This window comes from Homo sapiens, chromosome 9, assembly GCF_000001405.40.
Source record: "Homo sapiens chromosome 9, GRCh38.p14 Primary Assembly".
Lineage (NCBI taxonomy): Eukaryota > Metazoa > Chordata > Mammalia > Primates > Hominidae > Homo > Homo sapiens.
In genome coordinates, this window is record NC_000009.12 from 9561236 (window position 1) to 9586206 (window position 24971).

General features: G+C 33.1%; 1 protein-coding gene across 38 annotated transcripts in view, besides 1 other annotated feature; it reads right to left on the reverse strand.

Annotated features, from left to right (window-relative positions):
- PTPRD (protein tyrosine phosphatase receptor type D) overlaps window positions 1–24971 on the reverse strand; it is a 2298757-nt gene that overhangs the window by 1246990 nt on the left and 1026796 nt on the right. For all 38 annotated transcript variants that reach the window (NM_002839.4, XM_017014961.3, XM_006716827.5 and 35 more), the window contains one exon: window positions 13497–13546. The gene's annotated coding sequence lies outside the window, so the exon portion shown is untranslated. The remainder of the gene's footprint in view (window positions 1–13496; window positions 13547–24971) is intronic.
- Window positions 16187–16375: a silencer, noted in NCBI's record as "fragment chr9:9577422-9577610 (GRCh37/hg19 assembly coordinates)". NCBI's record gives its function as "represses an EF-1alpha promoter that drives an FKBP-Casp9 reporter gene in an ReSE screen in K562 erythroleukemia cells {active_cell/tissue: K562}" and the evidence as "EXISTENCE:reporter gene assay evidence [ECO:0000049][PMID:32094911]".

Sequence of the window (24971 nt, forward strand, 5' to 3'; positions counted from 1 at the left end):
ACTAAAGCACAGCCATGTTCCTTACACCACGTTTCCAGATCAAACCCATGGATACCTTGCATGTATTGATTGATGTCTGCCTGTGACTTCTGTCCCCCTAAAATGTATAAAAAATCAAGCTGTAACCTAAACAGTGTGGGCACATGTTCTCAGGACTTCTTGCAACTGTGCCTCACGTATTGGTCACGCATATTTGACGCAGAATAAATCCATTCAAATATTTTACATAATTTGACTCTTTTTCATCAACACTACTAAGTAAATGGCCACTGATTTATCATCAAACCATTTGGGGTAAAATTAGATTTTCACAAAGAACAAGCAAATGGACAAGTATAAAAAGAATAGCCTCTCTCTATTTTCAGAACTACAGTTAGAAATGTGCAGGGAAAAAGGCATTTAGGTTTAAGCCTTAACTGAAAAAAACACTCTTACTTTCCAAACAAAAGAAGGGTACTAATTTATAAAACATCCGTGTTGGTAAAAATCTGTTTCTCTTCAGAGGTGATGAGATCTTTTCTCTTAGATTGAAAGACATCACATACTTTTCTTTCTCTTTCTATCTACTGGTTGTACCTTCTCTCATTTGTTGGTTCCTTCTCCTTCCAAGCTCTTATTGTTGGAATGGCCCATGGCTCAGACTTAGACATTTTCTCTCTATGTATACATGCTGCTTTAAGGATTTTTCTCTCATTTTATGGCTTTAAATGTCATCTCTGTGCCACCAACATTCACTTTTTTAATCTTCTGGACTGACATTTCTTCCAAAATGAAGCCTCATATATCCATATGACTACTTGATACCCAACTTCGGAGTCTAAAAGACATCTGAAATTCAACATGTCCAAAATTGATCTGATTTTCTGTGTCCCCCATATCTGTTTTCCTCACACTCATATTCTTTATTTTTTCTTATTTTTATTTTTTGGTAAAAGGCAGCTCCACAGTTAAGTTCTTAGCTCTCAAATCCCCAAGCCATCCTTGATTCCTCTTTCTCTTATGTCCCTCAGGCAATTGGTTGGAAATTCTGCCAACAAATCCTTCAAAATTTACCTAGAAAATTTATCTAAATTCTTTTCATTGCCTCCTCTGCCACTATTCTGGATGAAGCCCCTATTATTTCTTATCTGCATTACGGTAGCCTTTAAAAATGGCTTCTGGCTTTAAGACCATACCCTATTTGCCATTGTCAACAGAGATAATTACCTTAGTATCATCCTTCTGCTTAAAATCCTTCAATGGCTTCTCACTGCTCTTAGTGTTAAAGCCAAAGCTCTACCTGACCTGCCTTCAACCCCACCTCTGTTACTATTCTGACCTCAGGTCCTAGAACTCTGCCTTCCTCTGCTCCTATTGCACTGTCCTCTTTGCTATTTTTCAAGCCTCCTTTCAGCCTTTGCCTTTACAATTAGACCCCTCTCCTTCATGGTATCTATATGGCTAACACCTTTAGTTCCTGAGCAAATTTGCCCAAATCTGTTGTTTTGGATAATTCAACTCTAAGCATCCTATTTACAATTATATTTCTACCCACCCCACATCTCCTTATCCCCAAATCTCCTATTTCCTTTCAACCTGTTCTACTTTTTGTTATTTTCTGTAAAATACATAACCTTTAAATATGCTAGATTATTCTATCACCATCTCTCCACACTGGAATCCAAGCTCCATGTGGGCAGACATCTTTGCCGCTTGTATTTACGGTGTAACTCAAGCAGAAAGACAATGGTCTAGAACACAGTAGCTGCTCACCAAATATTTATTGCTAGATGAATGACTATTAGAACATTTTTAATAAATCACCTTTTTCAACTGAATATAAAATTTTAGCTAATTGTATGGTTATAATTGTACCCACTTTATTATAAGAAATATATAATGTGTTTCAGTCTGACCCTTCTCTTTGGTAGGAGCAGAAAGAGATTAAAAATAAAAGGGGCAAGGGGTGGTCAAGATATAGTAATAAAAGTTGTAAGGAGCAAGTCTATCCCGATAAGTTTGAAATGTGAGAAGAATCCATGGCTTAGGTGCGCTGTGCAAATTTGCTGGGTTACTTCATTTGGGAACTACCTTATGGATAGACTATTATAAGGTGGGATCAGAATGCTTTGACAATATGATAACTCCAGTATCTTTTTAATTACCTTATTGTCATGATCATCAAAGTAGCTTTGGTTATTTTTCTTCTATCTGTACCCAAACCATGGATCACTCTCTCCTTATTTTATTCTGCATGGACAAGAAAGAAATATGGTGGTAGATTCTGGAAATACTGTGATTGCTGAAGAATAGACCAATTCCAGAACTCAGGGACAGCCTACAGAGCTGGAGCATAGTAAGAAAAATAAGGAAACCACATTCAGAGGATCAGGACAGCTGTTGATGCTTTTATCCTTGGCTTTTATGCCAAGGATTAAACATTATGTTATATGAAAATCATTCTGCAACCATATAAACAAAACCATAAAGCTTCCATTAAGTAATATCCCATGCATCCAATATATGATGTTTGAAAGAGATCATTAATACATTGGTATGCCCAAGTAATACTCTTATCTTGCATTCTCATACTATAGAACTAGAATTGACTCATATTGACAACCAACATGCTTTACCTGAGCATTTAAATCTTGACTTCAGTTAACCTTATCCATTGATATCCTGGCTTTCTTCTCCACATGACTTAGCCCAATGGCTCTCAAACCAAATGGGCATATGAGTCACTTAAAGAGGAAGTAAAAGACATGTTGGCCTAGGTTCAACTGAGTAGGTGAGAGCTTGGGTTGTTTTATATTTACCAAGTTTTCCAGCTCATTCTAATAGCTACCAGTGCTTGTGGATCATTAGAATAGCATGCTCATCTGGCCTCCCAAGAGTGTATTTAATGAGTATGTCAGCCAAAGAGGCTATTAGAAACACCAGCTGAGCTTTTTAAAGTTTAAGTACCTGTGTATTAACTTTGTAGATCCTTATTCATTTAACCTGAGGAGGAGCTCACAGATGTGCAAAAGAAAATCTCCATGAGTGATTCTGATGAGCTTTCCAAATGAAGGAGCTATGCCCAAGTTCTTGAAGTACTCTTTCTCCAAATTTTCATCAGTTGTGAGGAATGCTTCTCCTGTTACCCTTTAGAAACAAGTTAACTCAGAATCTCCCTGGCATAACAGAGTTGGCATGAGGAATGCAGGGGGCCTTGTCAATTTAAATTTATATTTTAAAAATTTCTGACTCCACATTAGATCAACTAAATTCGAATTTCTTAGGCTGAGGTTCGTGAATTCACACTTTTATCAGATTTACTAGATGATTCTCTTGCACACCAAATTGTGAGAACCTTTGGGTTGGAGCTTTCTTTTTTTAAACAATTTTCAAACTTACTGAACCAAAATCTTCGAATCCTGGGGTACATATGTCTTAAAAGCTTTCCAAGAAGATTTTTAAAGGTCATTATATTTAGGAACTCCTGTATTAATATGTAACTCAAGAAAACCCATCTCTGAATTGTTTTTCCTAACTCTAGTTCAGTGACTGTCTTTGGATTTATTAGCACTTAGAAAAAATATATCACACTTAGATTTTACTTCTGAAGATATTTCTTGTTCTGCCTCCAGAAATGTAAGCTGAACAAAAGAGAGACTTGAATCTTCTGTTTTTTTTTTTTTTTTTTTTTTTTTTTTTGCAGTGCACCTAAGGCTAACCTGTTATGGGCTATGTACTATTTGCTTCATAAAGATTTAAATGAATGACATGCAGTTTTCAAATTTACCTAGTTTCAAAATTATCTCAAGGTCTCCAATGTCCTGATAACTAACTTAATCTTACATAATCCCATAAAAAGAAGCTTAATAAAGTGAAAAGTTATATTCAAATATTTTATTAAAACTTACTAATATGTGTAAAAGGTTTTGTAAAGTGGAAAGGATTATCTGAATGAGTAATTGTAAACTAACAATATATTTTATTAATTTACCTCACTTTTTGCAACTCTAAACAAACCTTTTTAAGCTCACTAAACTCTTGCTTCATCTGTTTTGATTAGGAATTTTCTGATCTGAAAAAATATGCGGTTTTTAAAATTAACATTTATAGACTATGTAGAAATGGAGATACACTTCTGATGAGTGAAATGTTTATTAAATTTAAAATTGCAAAAAATTGCATGTATTGAATGATGTAATCTAAATGCAAATCTAAATAAGGATTGGAAAGGAAGGTATAAAAATCCTTTTTATTTTGATACCTCACAATCTGAATGCAGAATGATGATGGATTTCTGAAGAATAATTTTTCCTTTCTTTTTGTTATTTATATTGCAAGACTTTATTAATGTATAAAAATGCTTTTAATATTTTTAACATATAAGAAATATAAAGAAAATGCTACAAATAGCCACACGTTCAGAAATAAACTACAGGTACCTTTATTTTTTAAATCATTTTTACATTTTTTTGTACCTTAACATATTCCCAGAAACTGTTACATTATTATTCATTTTTTGTGCATTTAGGAAACCAGACAAATGTCCTTGTAAAAAAGGAAACAGAACATTAAACTTTGGCCCCGTTTCCTAGGATTTTGAAGAATTTATATGTTAGAGCTGTCAAGGATGGAATACAGAGAAATGAGATAAATGAAAATGACCAAGTAACCCTACTTAAACCCCTTTGTTGATGGTGTCTTCTATAGTAGGGAATCTATAATTTCATTTTTTTACTCTCTAACAGGCCAGAAGTGTCAGATGGATTTATAAATATGCTATGAAGGACACAAGATGAATCATTTATTGGCTGCCTCCTCATTTGTGACAACTTGAATTCTATGCTGTTAGGGCTTGCTTTTTTATTCCTGCACATTTTTTCTTCTCCAGCAATTTCATCTTGGTGTATATATATTTTTTTCTTTTCCAGTACTTATTAAAATTCTCACTAATTACATTTATACGTGGACAACACAAATCAAACTATTGTCATATTTTGAAGACTGTTATTATCTACTTATATGGATCTTTGAACTCGATAAGATAAAAATAATTTGCACATGTTGATCTGTCAAAAACTGTGATATATATGAAGGTAAATTATAATACACAACTATAAGAATTTTATTTGTTTAATGTACAATGAGCTTAAATTAATTACTCAAGAGCACAGCAATAAGCAATGGTGTTGTGGTCAAAAATTTAAACTCAGATTATTTCTCTCTGTACGTGCTTTTCGATTAAACTTGTGCGAGAGCTTATAATGGTTTGCCTAGGATATCAGGAAAAACAATGTAATTCTTGCTGGAGAATCAGTTTTACACAATAATACCTAAACATTCTTATATGCTAAATAAAACCTGGATGTTTTATTACATAGACTATGTATTTAACATAATTTAAAAAGGCTAAACACTATAAAATATAAAATTAGCACAATTTACAAAGATTAAACACCAGCTTTTAAGAAAAGCTTACACTCGTAGTGGGGTCATAACTAATTATATTTCATAGATCATCCTTTGTCAGTAAAGTTTTGGGGCAGTAAAACCTTTGGACATTTGTGGAAAATATTGAAAAGCGTTTCTTCGGCCTATCTTACTTTCTTCTCATGGAAAAATGAAAGAAATGCTCCGAACATTCGCTCTGCTTATGTACACTGACACTAACACTATTTTGTTGCCCAGGCACATACTCTAGCAAACACAGAGTAAACCTTACCTTATGACAGTGATTACAGAGTCAAATACTAAGGCAGCAAGGGCACCAATTTTACCCTCAAAGTGTGGAAAGTCCATTGCCGAGAGAGGTCAAGTAGATATAAAAAATATAAAATAATCAGTCTAATGGAAATATGTTGAAGGTCAATGGGAAAATGAAAGCGCACATAGGTCACCTGAAGATTCATGAAATACTGCATAAGGAGTGTGGCATTTGAGCTGAAATTTGAAGGAATGAAGGAATAGCAGTACCTTTTCTGTCAGTCAAAGGTGTGTGAGTGGGTCTTGGTCAAAGGAAAAATGCAGAGATGATTGATTGTGGGTGGGAGGTTCTGCTAGGGGTGGGATTGTTGTGTTATTGAGAGAACAGGATGGGTGAAGGCACCAGATTGAGAGCAAAGAACATAGGTATGCCGGTCTCATGGATGGTAACAGAGCAGCAAAACTGAGGGAGAAACCCCATTCTGTACATTTTTATACAGAAATTATTCTCTTGAAGATGAAAAGTCACTAAAGAATTTTGAGAAGAGATGTGGATGTAAACAATAACAATTGCCTACTTCCTAAGCAATCACCTGTTTAATTTGATGTGATTATCCCTGGGGACTTCATTCTAAAGTAAACTCACATTTTATCTATTATTGCCTCAGGGAAAATAAAAGTATTAATTCAAGAAGGATGTAGTACACCAACAAAGCATAATAACTATAACAGATACCACTGGTTGCCTAGCAAAGAACCATTTCTCCTTTTCTGCTTCTTAAGGGAACTTGAATTTTTTATCCCCCTCCATGCTTCTCTATGCAGCCTTGAGCTTCCATGGAAGCAGAACACATTTTTAAATGCAGAGGGTAAACACAACTGGTCTAAGCCAATAGTAAATGATCCTTATAGGCTGGGGCATATGACACATTTGATAGAAGAGATGTGAAAAGGTATTTGCTGGCAATAGGCAGAAGAGTGGGGATTGTCATAAAATCTTAATCTTTTATGGCATAAAAAGAAGGCAAAATCCCCTTTTTTTTTCTACTGGGTATCTCGTGCCTAGATATGTAACCTATAATTACGGCAGACATCTTTCAATATTGAGGGATTCTGGCCAAGGACAAACCTAAGATAGGACATTGGGCACAAAGATGAAAAGAACATAGGTCCCTGATTATGTCATTGAGTCATCCATGAAATTCTACAACTTCTTAACTTCTTATTTGTATAATAAGAAGCCTTTCTTAAAGCCTAAGCAAGTTAGTTTCCTGTTATTTGTGGCTCAAAGCATATCAACTGACATAATTAGAATAATTAAATTTAAAGCTTGAAAGGATTCAAAATTCATAGTGCACATCCTTCTTGTTTTGTAGTAGAACACATGGAAGACTTGAGAAAATAAATGACTGAGGTGGGAGGTCAAACGATTAATTATAAGCAGAATCAGGCTTCCTAAGTTCCACAAATATTCTGCCTTCTCATCTTTAATACATTTCAGATTTCTTAGAAGATCATTATACAAATAAAACCATCCAGAAGAGTATGTGACATGTAATAAATACTGAATAATACCTGACTGAAAATATGGACTCTTATTTCCAGCTTTGCCCAACTAGTGAACAGTTTTGATATTAACCATCCAATTATGACAGTGAGAAAATATATGCTACTTACAACTCACTGAGTCATACATGTATGGATTTATAGGTTTTCCTACATGCTTTCCTCTATGACGTTTACACATTTTTTTAAACGATAATCAGATGCTATGTCCCTTCATCTACTAATTATAACTTAATGGGAGGTAGCTCTTAATTTTCCACTGATGGGTAACTAAAGTTTTGATGGGGTGATAAGGATATACACATAGTATAGAGGACTTCACAGATGAAGACCTTTTTGTAGCTGGAGGATGACTGTAGACCCTACAAGCTCTCCAGGACTATAAATTTCCTATGGGTCCCTGTTAGCTGACTGTTTCCCAATACTAGCCCAATGCTTAGTACATACAGATGCTTAGTGGGTTTTGTTGAATAAAATAATGGGTATCTACAATAAGGAGTTGTGAATAAAAGAGAGAAAAAGGCAAAGACACTGGGGAAAGTCAGTTGAGAAAATGCACTATGCCCACTTTCTCATTTTGCTAGGTAATGGCCATTATACAGAGTTTAAAGTCAATTCATTTTCTTAATTCTTACTCTGTCATTGTCATCATCTGCAGCGAGTAATAATAGTAATAATCCTCTAACTATCTGCACATGTATCAACACAGATGATACGCTAGTCATTTGCGAATGTTATAAGTGTAATGAAATTAAAACCATTGATTAAATGGCACAATAATTTCTACAGAGCAGAGGGGAAAAAAAAAAGGTATTTAAAGGGAAGAACTGAGCCACAAAGTAAAGCTTACTTTAAAATATACATTTGAGTTTCAAGTTTAAAAAGTCAGTCACCAAAGATTTGTATCATGTGATAACAGTGGCAGTTTATTAATAATCTGTCATGTAAAGCTGACATATTAGAAGCTGAATTCTGCTCAGCTTTACAATAAAATCCCATCCATTTTATTGCTACCAGAATTAAATATATGCCATTGAAAGGCTTTAGTAAGCTTAAATATGTTCTAAAGCTCTTTTTTTTTCCCTAACACTTCGTTATCAACAAGTCAAATCGACAAAAGTCTAATCTCGATTTTCCCAGATATCCATAGTATATCAAAGAGGGAGCAAGATAACATACACATTTTTATAGAGGTTGATAAAGTTTGCCTTTAGACAAATAGGAAAGTCTTAGAAACTAAATTACTTGTTCCTGACATGTCGGGAACGGGGGAAGGCTAGATATAGTGTGTAAATCATATAGAGTAAGTATTAAAAGTTAAGCCTAGGGGATTCACAGATGGATAATTTATTTAATCAGAATTATGTGTGAGCTAGCCAGATAGGAATAATCTGTCCAAAGGTGTGAAGAGGTGATAATCCATATGTATTCAGACTAAAGGATTTAGGTGAGGCATTTTGTAACAAGTAAATATCACTGAACTAGTTTTTCAGAAATATCAGTTGAAAGTGCTCATCAGAACTAGAACTCCATTTTTCCCATATATTTTTTAGGGAAAAAAAATAACCCCACAGAACTGCACTTTAACAATTCTGTGTAATCAATTCATTATTGAATAGGAAGCAAAAATTTCCAGAAAGTATTTGTGCATGCAGTGATCTCAAATTCAAACTTCATTTATGTTACCAAAACTTTTTACCCACGTCTTTCTAACTGTATTATCATCATTATTATTATTATTTGGACTTCAAACGGTGTTTGTGACTTCAGATTAGACTTCTATTGCATAATTCAGTATTTAAATTTTGGGTCCAAATAATGCACAGTAATTCTTCAGTTTCCACTATTTTCCTTCATGCAGGATGTTACTTGTATGTCGTTTAACTTCATTTTTCCCCAAGCCCTGTCACCACTGTGAAAATAAACTAAGCTAATTTAACTGGCATCAATTACCTCTATATGTGGTTTGTGTTTCTTAACTGGATTTTTCCCTTTAACTATCACTTACATTCAGGGACACATGAAATAAATCCTGAAATATTTATTTCTATAACTTATGCTCTATTTCTCAGATAAGCTCATTATTTATCTTTTTGGAATGGCTGGTGGAGGATAAGAAGTATTAGTGCTACTTAAAGTCTTAGAACCAATCTTCAAGACAGCTATTTGTGTTTTACCTTTGTTCTCCCTGCTTTCATTATGACACAGAGATCGATAATTTAGAAAAAGTGAAAAACATCTAATTAGCTCTTGATTATTGCGCTCAATATTTCATCATGTTTGGCTACCTAAAACAGGCAAGAAAGCAGAAAGAAAAAAACAGGCAACCAAAATCTTCTGAAACAAATCCCAAGCTCTTCAAATATCCAAGTATATGGATTAATAAAATTCCATCTTTAGTTTCAAGGATTTTAATTTATAAACCCCAACATTTCTTTATTACATTGTTTCAATATTATGAAGAACTGAAACACGTTAGCTAACTACTAAAATAAGATACTATCTACTTTGCTGTTCTACTTCCATTGTGTTACATTATGAGTTACTCTTAAATCATGACATGGCTTAGACTAAGGACCCAGAGATGAAAAACAAACATTCTAAGAACGTATTTAAATGAAGATTGTTACTTCATGAGGAAAAACACATGCAATTCTAAAAAGGTGTATACTGCAACCTGTGGCAAACACATGTATGTTTGCATAACTGATACAAAATTTTTAAAAATAAACAATCCTGATTTTTATACCATCCTTTCTATCAGACACAAAATAAGTTGTGTTTTTGGTGAAAATTTTAAAACAAACAAAAAAAGATATGTATGTCTCTCTCTCTCTTCTCTCTCTATATATATCTCACAAGACAAGTATTAAATAAAATCTTAATGAAGCGCATATAACAGTATTCTGTAGTTAATACTTAAGGCTGTATTTATATTATGGCTGTTATATGCTTATATAACTTATTAGACATAATATTTTAGAAGCAATAAATATATTTTAACAATGATTACATTTAAATGCTTAAAGGTTAGCCTAATATTCTGATATTTTAATGATGCTGTAGAACATTCATATTGCATACTTTTGGTTCCCTTAATAATATCATATGGAAATAAATTATCATAATTCATTTAGGCTTAAAGTAAAATAATTTTGTTATAGTGCTGAATTTTCATTTCAAAATTGTGGCCACATAACTAATTGTTGCATGAAACTTATAATGGGCAATTCATAAATATATATATATTGATTTAACAAAATACTACATATTGCTTATTTTAATAGATACATTAAATTATTAAATAACTACATATCAATGTATTAATATTTATGTATGAATTTTATAATAAAACATTAAAACATATACAGAGCAATTACAATTCTAATGCAAATCTATTTATCTTAAATGCACAAGGTAATAAACATAGAACAATGTAACACCTGGAGTCCATTAACTGTAAAAGTTTAAACGATATTATGGTTTAGAGAAACCATAATATCTTAGTAACAACAGATAAGGCAAAAATATCTTAAATAGGACATAAAAAACTTTGATCATAGAAGGAAAATGAAAAAACCCTAATAAACAGAAATAAATCAAAATTAAGAACTTCTGTTCATCAAAATATATCATCCAGAGAGTAATGAGAAAATCCACCAAAGAGTTGAATATAAAGTGCAAATATTCAGTGGTGCTCTGGTAAATATTTCACAACTAGCTCTCCAGAAGGAAAAATAAAGCCATTATTTTTGGTGTTTCTCAAACTATGTTGTGAAAATACTTCTATCATGACTGATTTTCAAACCCATAATTGACACTTCCATAATTGGCTATGGTTAGTTTTGAGAAAGTATTTAAGAATGTAAGAATGTTAGTCGAAGAATATATTTGAATCAGGATTATTACTTCATGAGGAAAAACACATGCAATTCAAAAACCATACATAAAAGGACAATGTAATCTGTGGCAAGTACACATTTGCAGAATTGATTCTGAATTTTAAGAAAGAAATAATGCTGATTTATTAATTGGTAGTTTTAAATCCTCTATTGGATATATACAATGGCATATATATATGTATATATATATATATATATGTGTATATATATGTATATGTGTATATATATATCATACATATATGTATATATATGTATTTATGTATAAACATAACCCGATATGTATATTATGTATGTATAAACATATGTATGTATAAACATAACCTAATAATAAAGGACAAATAATCTAGTAAGAAAAAAAAGGCAAAAGTTTTAGGACATTTCAACGAATAGTGTAACCACATGAGAAATAAGAGCAAAAACAAATGTTTGATAGCATTAATATTCAATATATTCCAATTATAATACCCCTATTCACATACCCAAACTGCTGAAGTTAGGATGAAAAACCCCGGTGTCAGTGACTATAGGGAGCAACTGAACTCTTATATCCTGCTCCTAAAACTGATAAACACTTGGTGAATTGTCAATATGTACTGAAGCAGAACATGAGCATATCCTATGTACACAACAAAATACATACATGTGTTCTCCAAAAACACATGTTCCTGATATCCAAATCAACACTATTGATAAAGCCAAAGTCTGGAAGCTACTTAAGTTACTATCAATATTAGAAAGGGTTAATAATTTGGTCTATTCACAGAGTTGAATACTACACAGCAATGAAAATGAGCAATTTACCACTGCACACAATTTTACAAACATAATGTTGAGCAAAAGAAACAAAGCAATACCTACTGTATGATTTCATTTATAGAATACAGAAAAAGGAGCCTCCTTTTTCTATATTCTAGAAGCAAAGATACTTCTTATGTTCTGTATACTTCTAGAACTGAAGATATTGCTTATGCTCTATAGGTTTAGTGACTAGAAAGAGTATAACAGGACTCAAAGTACTCTAATGTTCTTTTTTTAAAAAAAAAAAACTTATGTCAGTATTGGTTATATGGGTGTAATTCATTTTGTAACAATTCACTAAAACTGCGCACTTAAGATATAAGTAATTTTCTCTATGTATATAAGATAATTAAAACACTGGAGATAATAGTAATTTTTAGAATACTTTTGTTTCTTATTATAAATTGAAATAATTTATTTAAAAAGTTCATTCAGGTATATTTGTGAAATATAATTTAAAACTTAAAAATAAGTACTTGGGGATAAAATTATTACTCAAAGTGTATCTAAATAATTTCTCCAAATTTCTCCCATTATCAGCAAAGTCCTCCTGGTAGAGCAGAGGAATTTCACTTTCCTCCTATATGACACTTGTTTTAAACAATCCTATGTTATGTTGAGTGTTTCTTTAAAAAGTAATGAAAAAGTATACCTTATAGTTCTTAGAGATGGCTGTTATCTACGATCATTTTAAAACATCTTTTTCAAGATACATTGCAATAATGCTATATGCCCAAATAGGAGTTTTAATCAACTGCCTTTGTGCTTCCAAGGATGTCATTTCCCCCAAGTATAGAATGTATGATACAAATGCCCACATTATCTGGATTTTATATATTTATTATAAAGTAAATCTTTATTATGTTTACTAATAAGCAACAGATAAACTCTGAAAGTTGGCTTAGTGAAAATTAATTTCATCAGTTTCAAAACACAAATAAACTCATATTTATGTATATTCTGTAGTCAATTATTAATATAATCCAGATTCACATTTTTGACAAACCTTATTGAATACATATAACCACAGAAGTTAATGAATAATTAAAGCCTTAAAAATTGCCTTAGAAGTCACTTGTTATTTATTACCATCTTATTTCCATAGTTACATACTTTACTCTCAACTTCCTGGAGCTCTAACATCATGCTTCATGGGGAGACCCAATTTTGATACATCTTGACAGGTGATAAAATAAGTTTTACTTTCAATAACTCATTGCCATCAAATAGACTTCATTATGAAAAATTTAATGGATAAAATTGTTATTCATGTTCAAAGAACAGTTTTCAGTGGTATCAATCTTTACCTTTGCGGGACATGCCTTAAAATTTACATAGAAATCTATCAAAGACTATATCAAATAACTGTATTACTATAATCTATCCAAGAACATAAACATTTTGATAGAAAATATCACATAATTTCTTCAACATTTATGGTTAAATATCAAATGACTTATTTGAATTTCCTTTACTTAAAAAAAACTGGACATGATCAAAAAGCGGTAATGAAAATAACTCTAAAATTAGGTAAATTAATTATAATCTTACCGTAAGCTCACAGGTTAGGAATTCGAAGAAAAAGTTCACCACCCTGAGACCTAGAAAAGTATAACACAAAACATTCTTTATTAGTACTAGTGTTCAATTTAAATTAAAGAACCTTAAGAGGTTAGTAATTCAATATGAGAAATGTTATTATATGAGTAATTAGTGTACATATCACTTGACAAACATTTTTGACTACAGTATTTGTCTGAAATAGCATTACCAGTTACTCATCTTACATCAAAGTATTGTGATTTGGGCTCTTTAATGCAGTGATGACAAACAAGCAGGCAATTATTGTCCACTTGCTTCTTGTAAGACTATAGCTGATGGATAACATTTGCAAGCTTAATGTATTTTGCTAGATAACCTTCTCTGTTACATTAATTTAACAATGTCAGATATAACATACATCCCGATATATACATGTGCAAACATGTACACACACAGCTGTGGCTATCATACCATAATCGTACTTTTTATCTTAGCTTTATCCATTTTAATCACTAATAAATAACTATCCGTGATATATTCTATAAAGTATGTAATAATTTTAAAGGCTGTACAGTACTCCATCGTTCACTGTACATCCTAAATTATTTAAGATATTTGATTTAATAATTATGCTAGTTATTATTATTGTCTTTAAATTGTCTTTAAAATACGCCAGTTAGTTACCATTGTGTGTGACTTTATATAATAGTTACTGAGGCCAGGTGCGGTGGCTCATGCCTGTAATCCCAGCACTTTGGGAGGCCGAGGTGGGTAGATCACAAGGTCAGGAGTTCAAGACAAGCCTGGCCAATATGGTGAAACCCTGTCTCTACTAAAAAATAGAAATATTAGCCACCTGTGGTGGTGCATGCCTGTAGTCCCAGCTACTCAGGAGGCTGAGGCAGGAGAATCACTGGAACCCGGGAGGTGGAGGTTGCAGTGAGCCAAGATCATGCCACTGCACTCCAGCCTGGGTGACAGAGCAAGACTGTCTCAAAAAAAAAAAAAAAAAAAAAAAAAAAAAGAAAGAAAGAAAAAGAAAAAAAGAAAAAGAAAGAAAAAGAAAAAAAAAAATAGTTACTGAGCCCTTTGTAAAAGTTTTCTCATTTTGGTGCAGTGGTAACTTTATCAACACACATTACTCGCCATCAAGTTTGTTTAATGCTTGATAGATACTATTTTATATGAACAAGAAAAGAAAACTAAATATTTAACCTCTGCCCTCAAAGAAGAAATTAGTAGTACTTGCAAACTCTTTAGAAAATTCATAAATGACTGGTAGGTCTACAAGTAGGTGCTCTACTGTGTAACCTCTAGCTAATTGCTATATAATTTAAAATAGAAAAGTTATAATAGATTGAGTCTTTTATGTCAATTCTTTAATTGTTGGTACTGTTTTGGGAGACTGTGTTTTTCTCAGTTTATGCATTAAACTGTTTCAACTAGTTTCTACCATAATTGAAGAAAATAGTTTATATAACTTCATTTATTTCATGAAGGAATAATACTTCATTCTTAGGAAGGATGATCATATGTGAAAGTGAATCTGACAGTAAAATGAACCACTTGAGAGGTGATATAAAATGTTTCTCTTTTTGATGAAATGTTAGAGGAAAACAAAATATCACTATCACGGAGGTGTAAAGGAGTACATTACAATTCTTCCAGTAGACCTCCCGGGCTCATTTGTACAGTATCACTTTCTGCTTTCATTAACCCTCCAGGAGCAAGGATAGAGATGATTTCAGGAGATCTATTCCTTATTGACATTTGTGAAAGGAGAATCCTCTCAAAAAAATCTAGTGTGATTTGAGATGCTCGTACTTTAAAAAGTCAATCAATGAATTAGAGTGACCTTCTTTCTTGCCCTCCCTTTTTATCTAGAGGTGCAGCAAATTAAATTTTGGTTAAATGTTAAAAGGTTGAGTATTAGAATTAACATTTGGCTGAAGCTAAATATTACCATTGTAGAATAAACTTCTTGGATACACAAATTAGAAGTTTTAATTGTTATTACTATTTTATTACTAAAAGTTTAAAGTCAAGCTTTAAGGTTTTAACATTATAGCGCAGAAACAATAATTTATTTTAGCACGATCAGATGCTAGATTACTCCTGCAGGCACTGTGTTGCATATTTGCAATATCAAATTGACACTTTTAAAAGAATGATGGAATTTCAACATAAAAATCACATAAAGAGATTTATGTCCTTTTGTTCTATCTAGAATGTTTATCTATATTTGAAACTGAATATTTTGATATTAACAATAAATCCAAAAGACATCCTTGTTTGTATTACTGACGTTGTTACACTGATCAGATATGTTGGGTATGTAGATTGTAAGTCATGGCTCATACTTAAGTTCAGGGATTCCAGAAATGATATTCAAAGTATTTGACTAGTTGGTCTTCCAAGGACAAATCCAAATCAGATAGGTAATTTTAGGCATACAAGAAGGTCAAAGCAGAAATACAGTTTATTCCAACTTTAATTTACCATTTTCAATGATTTGTGGAGCTTGACTCAGGCAAATATACATTTAAAAAGGAAAGCATTGGCTGGGCATGGTGGCTAATGTCTGTAACCTCAGCACTTTGGGAGGCTGAGGCAAGCAGATTGCTTGAGCCTAAGAGTTTGAGACCAGCCTCGGCAACATGGAGAAATCCCATCTCTACAAAAAAATACAAAAATTAGCCAGGGGTGGTGGTGTGTGCTTGTACTCCCAGCCACTTGGGGGCTTAGAAAGAAGGATCGCTTGAACCCTGGAAATTGAGGCTGCAGTGAGCCGAGATTGTGCCACTGCATCCAGCCTGGGGGACAAAGTAAGACCTTGTCTCAAAAAATAAATAAATAAAAATAAATAAAAAGGAGTTTATTTTAACACGATGTGCATAAATAACTATTTTCAGAGGAGAGATTTATGATGAATGACCAGTTATTAAACTGTCAGAGACTTTGACACTAGGTTAGAGTTTTATCCTTGATAAATTTTAAGAAATTTTATTTCACATAAAATTCTAGCCAAATAAATTGGATCAGTCCGGGCACGGTGGCTCACGCCTGTAATCCCAGCACTTTGGAAGGCTGAGGCGGGTGGATCACCTGAGGTTGGGAGTTCAAGACCAGCCTGTCCAACATGGTGAAACCCCTTCTCTTCTAAACATACAAAAATTAGCTGGGTATGGTAGTGCACACCTGTAGTCCCAGGTACTTGGGAGACTGAGGCCAGAGAATAGCTTGAACCCAGGAGGCAGAGGTTGCAGTGAGCCGAGATTGTACTACTGCACTCCAGCCTTGGTGACAGAGTAAGACTCTGTCTCAAAAAAAAAAAAAAAAAAAAAAAAAAGAGGATCAGATATACTTCTCTCATTTGTACTACTTATTTGAGGAACAACCATTCAGAAAGCACTGATGTTAAGCCAAGCAGGCAAACCACAAAAGAAATTATTGATAATTTTATAATTCTGGTATCCTAAACTTACCATGCTGAATAAGACATTCTTCAGAGTTGTGTTTGAATGATTTTCAAATTACTACAGAAATCTTGAAAAGTTATACATTCAAGTTTAATTTTTTAGTATTATTTTAGTATTTCTGTAGATAAATGCCTTTAATGAATGGATTTATTGGATCTATGATGTAGTGTTTGGAGAAATTCATGAAATTGGCATCTTAGATGGTGATTTCTTCCTCATTAAAAAGAATTAGAGTGCATTACTTCCTCTTGACTTAATTTTGCAAGGAGTCCAAAAATTTGGGGGAGGGAGAGGAAATTGAATAAAAATTATTTGGAAACCTAAAAATTGGAAAATCATTTTCAATAATAATTTTAAATAATTATAAATACTTCAAAATGATTGGGAATAATTTTAAAGACAGTTTGTTGGGTTTAGGAAAATAATATTTAATCAGCAATAAATAGTACTGTAATAGGATTTCTACATTGTATCTCATGTATCCTCAGTTGATGCTCAGAAAAGTTTCATATATTAGAGATTATTTTCCACATTTTCACAGAAGAGACTGAAAGCCAACAATTGCCTGAATAAACTACAAAAAAATCTTACTATCAATATGTTGTAAAGTTAAAATTGAACCTGAAGTTAACTAAATTCAGAATCCCAGTTAAGTCACATACCAGGATAGGATAATATTAGTAGACACCATTTACCAAACATATAATGTATGTAAGATCCTGGTCTCAGTATTTTTATGTATTAATTCATTTAATTCTGATAATTATATTTTTACTTTATAGATAAAACTGAGCTATAAGTATATTGTTCTTTATCATACACATTTTTAATCCAAGGAGTCTTGCTTCAGAGCCTATGCTCTTAGTCATTACATCTCTATATGATAGTTAATCATTGTACGGCATTCTTACAAGTGCTATTTCAATGCACATATATTCATTTATTCTTTTCAGTTTTAGGAGTCAAGTAATTATATATTTATTATGAGTCTAATATCATCTTAGTGGGCTGGTCCTCATTAATAACTACAGTTAACATTTACTGAACACATACTAAGTGCCAAGAAGTGTGTCAAAGTCTTTAAGTTCATCTCATTTAATCTCCATAGCAATCCTATCAGGTATTATGAGCATCTATGTTGTATAAGTAAGAACACTGACTAGAGAGGTAAACAAATATATCCAAGGACAGAGAGCTAGTAAGTAATATAGTTGAGTTTTTAAAATAATTATTTTAATTTTTAAGATCTGGGGTACACATACAGGATGTGTAGGCTTGTTACATAGGTAAACGTGTGCCATGGTGGTTTACTGCACCTATCAAATCATCACCTAGGTATTAAGCCCAGCATGCATGATCTTTTTTCCCTAATCCTCCCCTGCCACCTCCACACCTCCTCTAACAGGCCCTAGTAAGTGTTGTTCCCCTCCCTGTATGTTCAGCTACAGTTGAGTTTTAAGCACAAACTCTCCTACCCTTCAGTTAGATGTAGCTTAGAGATACAGATTGTTTGTGTAAATTTGAGGGGTATAAGTATAATTTGGTTATATGCATATATCACATAGTGGTGAAGTCAGGGCTTTTAGTATGTCCTTTACCAGAATAATATCCATTGTACCCATTAAGTAATTTGTCATCATTCATCTCCCTCCCACTCCCTTACCCTCTGAGTTTCCATTGTCAATCAACCCAAGCTCTAAGTCCATATGAACATATTATTTAGCTCCCACTTATAAGAGAGAATATGCAGTATTTTTCCTTCTGTGTCTGGGTTGTTTCACTTAAGATGATGACCTCCAGTTCCATCCATATTGCTGCAAAGACATGTTTCATCTTTTTTATGGCCGAATAGTGTTCCATACTATTGTGTGTGTATGTCTGCGTGTATTACATTTTCTTTATTCAATCATTTGTTGATAGACAGGTTATTTCATAACTTTGCTATTGTGAATAGAACTGCAATAAACATATGAGTACAGGTATCTTTTTGGTACAATGATTTCTTTTCCTTCGGGTATATATCAAGTAGTGGGATTGCTGGATCAAAGGGTGGTTCTATTCTTAGTTCTTTGAGAAATCTCCATACTGTTTTCCATAGAGGTTGTACTAATTTACATTCCCACCAACAGTGTATAAGTCTTCCCTTTTCTTTGTGTTCTTGCCAACACTTTTTTGTCTTTTTGTTAATAGCCATTCTGATTGATGTAAGATGATATGACATTGTAATTTTAACTTTAATCATTTTCTGATGATTAGTAATGATGAGCATTTTTGATGCGCTTGTTGGCCATTTGTATGTTTTCTTTTGAATGGTGTCTATTCATGTCCTTAGCTTACTTTATTTTCTTTTTTTTTTTTTTTTTTTGAGACAGAGTCTTGCTCTGTCACCCAGACAGAAGTGCAGTGGTGTGATCTCTGCTCACTGCAACCTCTGCCTCCATGATTCAAGCAATTCTCCTGCCTCAGCCTCCTGAATAGCTGGGATTACAGGAGCCTACCACCATGCCTGCCTAATTTTTGTATTTTTAGTAGAGATGGGCTTTCAGCACGTTGGCCAGGGTGGTCTCAAACTCCTGACCTCTTGTGATCCACCCACCTCAGCCTCCCAAAGTGCTGGGATTACAGGCATGAGCCACCGTGCCCAGCCCTTAGCCTACTTTTTAATGGGATTTGTTTTGTTGTTGTTGTTAAGTTGTTTGAGTTCATTGTAAATTCTGGATAAACAGTCCCTGTCAGTTGTGTTGTTGTCAAATATTATCTTCCATTCTGTGGGTTGTGTGTTCCCTGTGTTGATCAGATTCTTTTAAAGGGGAGGACATGTGAAAGAAATAGGGGGCTTGCATTTTAGTCAATTTAGAAAGAAACCCAAAATTGTATCTTCATAAAGCAGATACATAACTATATTCTCAGTTTTTTATAGATCTGTAAGAATAGTAAATAGATTAGAAAGCTTCTAGTCTTACAACTCTAATAAATTATAATTAATTTTAGATAGTGACAGCCCCACAGTACCTAGCTCATTAAATGCTAAATTGAACTTATGCATTATTTATCAGACATGTCAAATTCTAGAGTTTTCTGCCAATAAATTTTAGAATACATAATATTGTTACAAAATATGTAAATTGTAGGTAATATAAGAATGATTTTGGCATAGGTTATCAGAAACACTTTCTTGCAAAACCAGATAACCTTCTATCCATTTAGAAAAATGCAAATAAATGCTTTAAAAAATAACAACTTTGAACTCTTATCTTTCAAGACTGTGAAGCTTATCATCTCAGAAACACAATTCCTATTATAATTGTAGGCAACATATTTGGGAAAAAATGTAGACTGTTTCAGTAAAACCTTGCACATTATAAACTCTCGATAAATAATCAATGACCATCTAAGTGATGCAATAAAGAAATAATAACTGGATAGACCCTTGGGAAAAAAAATACCCCGTGTTTAGGTGTTAGAGTTTACCTTATCAAAATCTTCTCAACGTCTTAATCAATGCCTAACTTATTTCTTACAAAAAAGATCTTAAATCTTGGGAAAGTTGGAATGACTGGCAAGTGGTGAGACTAGCAAACTATCCTATGAATAATGTATGTAAATCTATTGAATACAATGGTATATAATGCTTGTTAAGTAATTTATACATTTATTCCACAAATATTTACTAAACAATTATTTACCAGCCACTACTATACTATAATGTGAGGTTAAAGTCACAAATAAGACAAAAACCATAATAGATTTGATATTCTGGTTACTAATGTTTAATAACTGTATATTTTATTGCCACTTCAAAAGCTACTAGACATTGTACAATTGCATTCTATAATCTCTTCCGGGATTTTTCTTTTGGTATTCCAAAATCTAGCTTGAGAAGTTTTATATAAGTTTGAGTGGGTTTAACACTATGGCAGAAACTTCTAGTTATCCCTCAACATCCATCTTACTTTACTTATTTTTTGCTAGGTTCATGACCACTTGGAATAAGACAACCATCCTTAGTCTCAATGCCATAAGATTAAGTTCTGGCAAAAGGACACATGTAGACGTTGGGTAAGCAAAGTCTAAACAGTGTCAGTGAATGTTAAGAGGCATGTTCCTCTTTGTCCCTCCGTCCCTAAGTAAAATTTCTGGTTAGAATGCAGAATTAATGCCTGGAGCTCCAGCAGTCATATATCATAAGAGGCCACCCCAACCTCTTTGTTTATCAGACTCCCAAGTAGAGCAATTAAAATAGGAGGAATCCAGATCAAATGACAGTGTGGCATGTTATCTCAGACTTGGATGAATTATTTCTTGAATCTGAGAGATAAATAAATTATATGGAAAAAGAAAGCAGATTAAAGTTTATCAGAGAATAAAACGTGGGAGGAATGGGGAATAACTGCTAATGGGTAAAGAATTACTTTTGCGATGATGAAATTATATCTCAATAAAGCTGTTATTTTTAAAAGTTCCTTACATTACTCTATTAGTTTATCTCTTAAATAATTTAAATGCATTTTATATTTTACAAAGATATTTGTGTGGTATATTCTTCTGGAGGCTCAAATTTGTCTGAATTTCTGAACCTGCTATAATGTATTAACGTGTTAGTATATATTAGGATGAATAAAATAAGAAAAAACTATAATCTTTGTCTTCCATTGTCTAAAACCTACTGGAAAGAAGATAAAGTCTATTCATGAATTAACACCAAGAAAAACCATTAACCTCCCAGAGCATTTGTTGGAATTTCATTATACAATTGAAAGTCATTTGAAAGTTTACTTGTTACCACATAACAAAATATGTGATTAAAAATATCTACAGAAAATGTTGCCAATAAATAGTATAGGCTGGAATTTGTATTTTAGCCTGTTGGTTGTAGTGCCTTTGATATCTTCCTCACTGAATGAATATCTGTTCCTAAATTATTCTCACAAAATCCAAAATGTCAAAATCTCTAAATAAACTTTCATACTCCTTCAAAAAGTATACAATGAAAGTGATTACAAATATTTTGGGTATCAATGATATATAAAATAACATCAAACAACTCATTTAGCAAGTGGGAATTTATGTCTCTTAACTGAAAATTTATACATCCTTATGTTTAATATTTTGACTCTTAGGCATTACTACTCAGAAAAATGCCGCTCTAAATTATTCAAAACACTAAAATCTTATTAAAATGTTTGATGCTGTATTGAAAAGATTGACAACAATAACCTCAATCTATAAATGGGTGCATTCCAAAAACGTCCTCTGAACCCTTTTTCATGAATGACATTGTCATAATTTTCCTTAGTTGACAATGAGCCAAACTAATTGGTAAAACCTAAAGAAATAATAATGCTCATCATAAAGTTGCCTTGTTATAGATAACTACGCATTTAAGAAGAAATTAAAATTATAAATTGTAACTCCCAGCATAATATACTGATCCTTTCATTTCTGGAGATAGTAATATTGAAAAATCTGTAAGTCCATGTGAAAGTTCACAAGATTGGTATAGCCTTTATGTAAATTCATGGTAACTATGGCAACATTCATTTTCATTTTACTTCAGCTGCTGCACTAAAGCTCAGATAAGCTTGGAGACTCAGTCTTATAGTTGCCATTATGACTAGCGGGTCCTTATCACTCCCTATTCTGAAAATATACAGCAGCATTTGGGTGCCACTTGTCCCTTTCTATCTTACTCGCCATGGTTGGCTACTTTAATCAAGCCGTGAAACTATCCTGTATTCTCTTCTTCCTTCATCCTTACCATACTTTTTTGCCAATTGGCAATTCAGAGGCAGAAGCTAAGTATACAGTGGTAACTCTCAAACTCAAATGCACATAAAAATCACCTGGATTTTTGTTGAAATACAGATTCTGATAGTTCTGCCTTGTTAGAAATACAGAATCTCAGACCCCATCCCAAAAACATGCATCAGAAGCTTCATTTTAGTAATACTAGCAAGCTATGTAAAGCTTCCTAAGCCACGGTTTGTTTATCTCAGAAATAGTTTATATATATGAAGTGCCCTGCAACCTCTGTCTCCCCTTAATCTCCCCTCACTCAAATCTACCCAATCTCATTTAGATGATGCTTCATAAACCCTACCAACCTTTTAATTTTTGGAAAAGAAAGCTACTACATTAAAACATTTTATTTCATCACCATTATTATTATTATTATTATTTGCTATGCTACCACAAAAGACCTCTATGTTGCTCATGTTTCACCATCACTATTCTTTCTCTACAGTTACCTAACCATTATATTCCTAATGCTGTAGCCACTAAAGTAAAATATCTCCAACTCCCTCCCATTTTGTACCTGCTTCTCTCTCCTGCTATGACATGACTTGTTCACATATTAAGTGTATGAACGTTATCCATGAGAACAACTTCAACTTCGTTATTCTACACTTTAAAAATCCATGTGCATCTTCATCCATTCCTCTTCTATTACTTTATTTCCAAGAAAGGATCTCTCTCCTCCTCGCAGTTTTGCTTTCATCCCCCCTTTTCAGTCCTGAATTACCATGCACCCTTTATGCTTTTTCTAATGACAACAAATTTCTCATTCTCCCCTTTATCTTTATTTTCAACCTGTAATGTCAAGGCTTATCTCTCTGGAGAACTTTGCCCTTGACCATCCTGAGTCTTCAAGCTTTATTTTCTTCTTGTGTGGATGCTTTACACGTCTTATGATTTGCAACATTTTTTTTCACCCAAAAAATTCTAATGATGCCCTTTATTGCACAACCACAAGGATGCCAAGACATCAAATACCATGTTCCTTTTAAAGTCATCATCACCCTGGAAAATTTACAGCACACAGAAGTTAACCACTTCTTCTTTCATAAAATTCTCTTTTTCCAGGAATTACAAGCTGCCTTCTAGTTTTGGATTATTATCATTTTTGTTTCATTATGTTTTTATGTTCTCATGATTACATCTTATTGTTTTTGCCTTTATTTTCTCTTCTTCCCAGTACTTTGAATGTAAAACTTCCCAGTTTTACAGCATGTTTATCTCAGTAGCAGACATAATGCCTAGGGGCAAAGCTGTGCTCAGGGATGTTTGAGTGAATGCAACAATCAAGGTATGAATATATTTTCGGATCCTGTCCTTTTTCTACTTATTCCTATGTGAACTTGTACTTAGACACTTGGTTGAAATCTTCATCTTTACAAGTTTCATCTTCAATTCACATCTTAACTTTCCAAATTAGTATTTCTAGACCTGAATGTATTTCTGGCCTAGGTGCTACTTTCCAAACTTCTTGGTAGATATTTCTAACTATATATTGCACAATTACTTTGAATTGAAAATGTCCAAACAAAATTTATCCTCTTCCTGCTAAAACCCACTTTGCTCCTTGGATTTTTCTTTCTATTAGTGACACTTCTAACTTGTCATTCACACAAACCTAAAAGGCTAGTCATTACTGATTCTTCCCTTTCTTTTCAGCCCTTCATCCAATCATTTTTCAAGCCCAACAATTCTACCTCTGTTGTCTTCATGAAAATGAAGAAAGACCATCCAGATGTGAATACGTAGGTACTATTTATTTGCAGTTGGCTATAGCAAGGGATTCAGCCATGCATCATTTGCATTTGCCAGAGACTCAAAGGTAGGTAGGGGAGCAGGAAAATCTAACAATGAATAAAAAGGGAAGGCTTGAGGTGTGTTCTGATTGGAGATAAATTAACATGGAGAAACTGGAAGCAGGCTAACCAGAAGTAGAGCAACCTATGTGTTTGCTTTGGGAGATATATTTGGCTTCCTCTGGTTAGTTCCGAGTTGGAAGCAGTGGATAAAAATTAAGGAAGTTGGTAGTCAGTGACCTGAAAATGTCCCCAACATCCTGGCCATTCTGAACCAATTGCAGAGGTTGTGGTTTGGTTTCCTGGGCTAGTTGCGGTGGAGGTGGTAGGTCAGAGTTTTGTCACATATGTTCTGGCTGTTAACCATTTGTATATTCAGTCTCTCATCTCTCATATTTCTTTTTCCCCTTCCA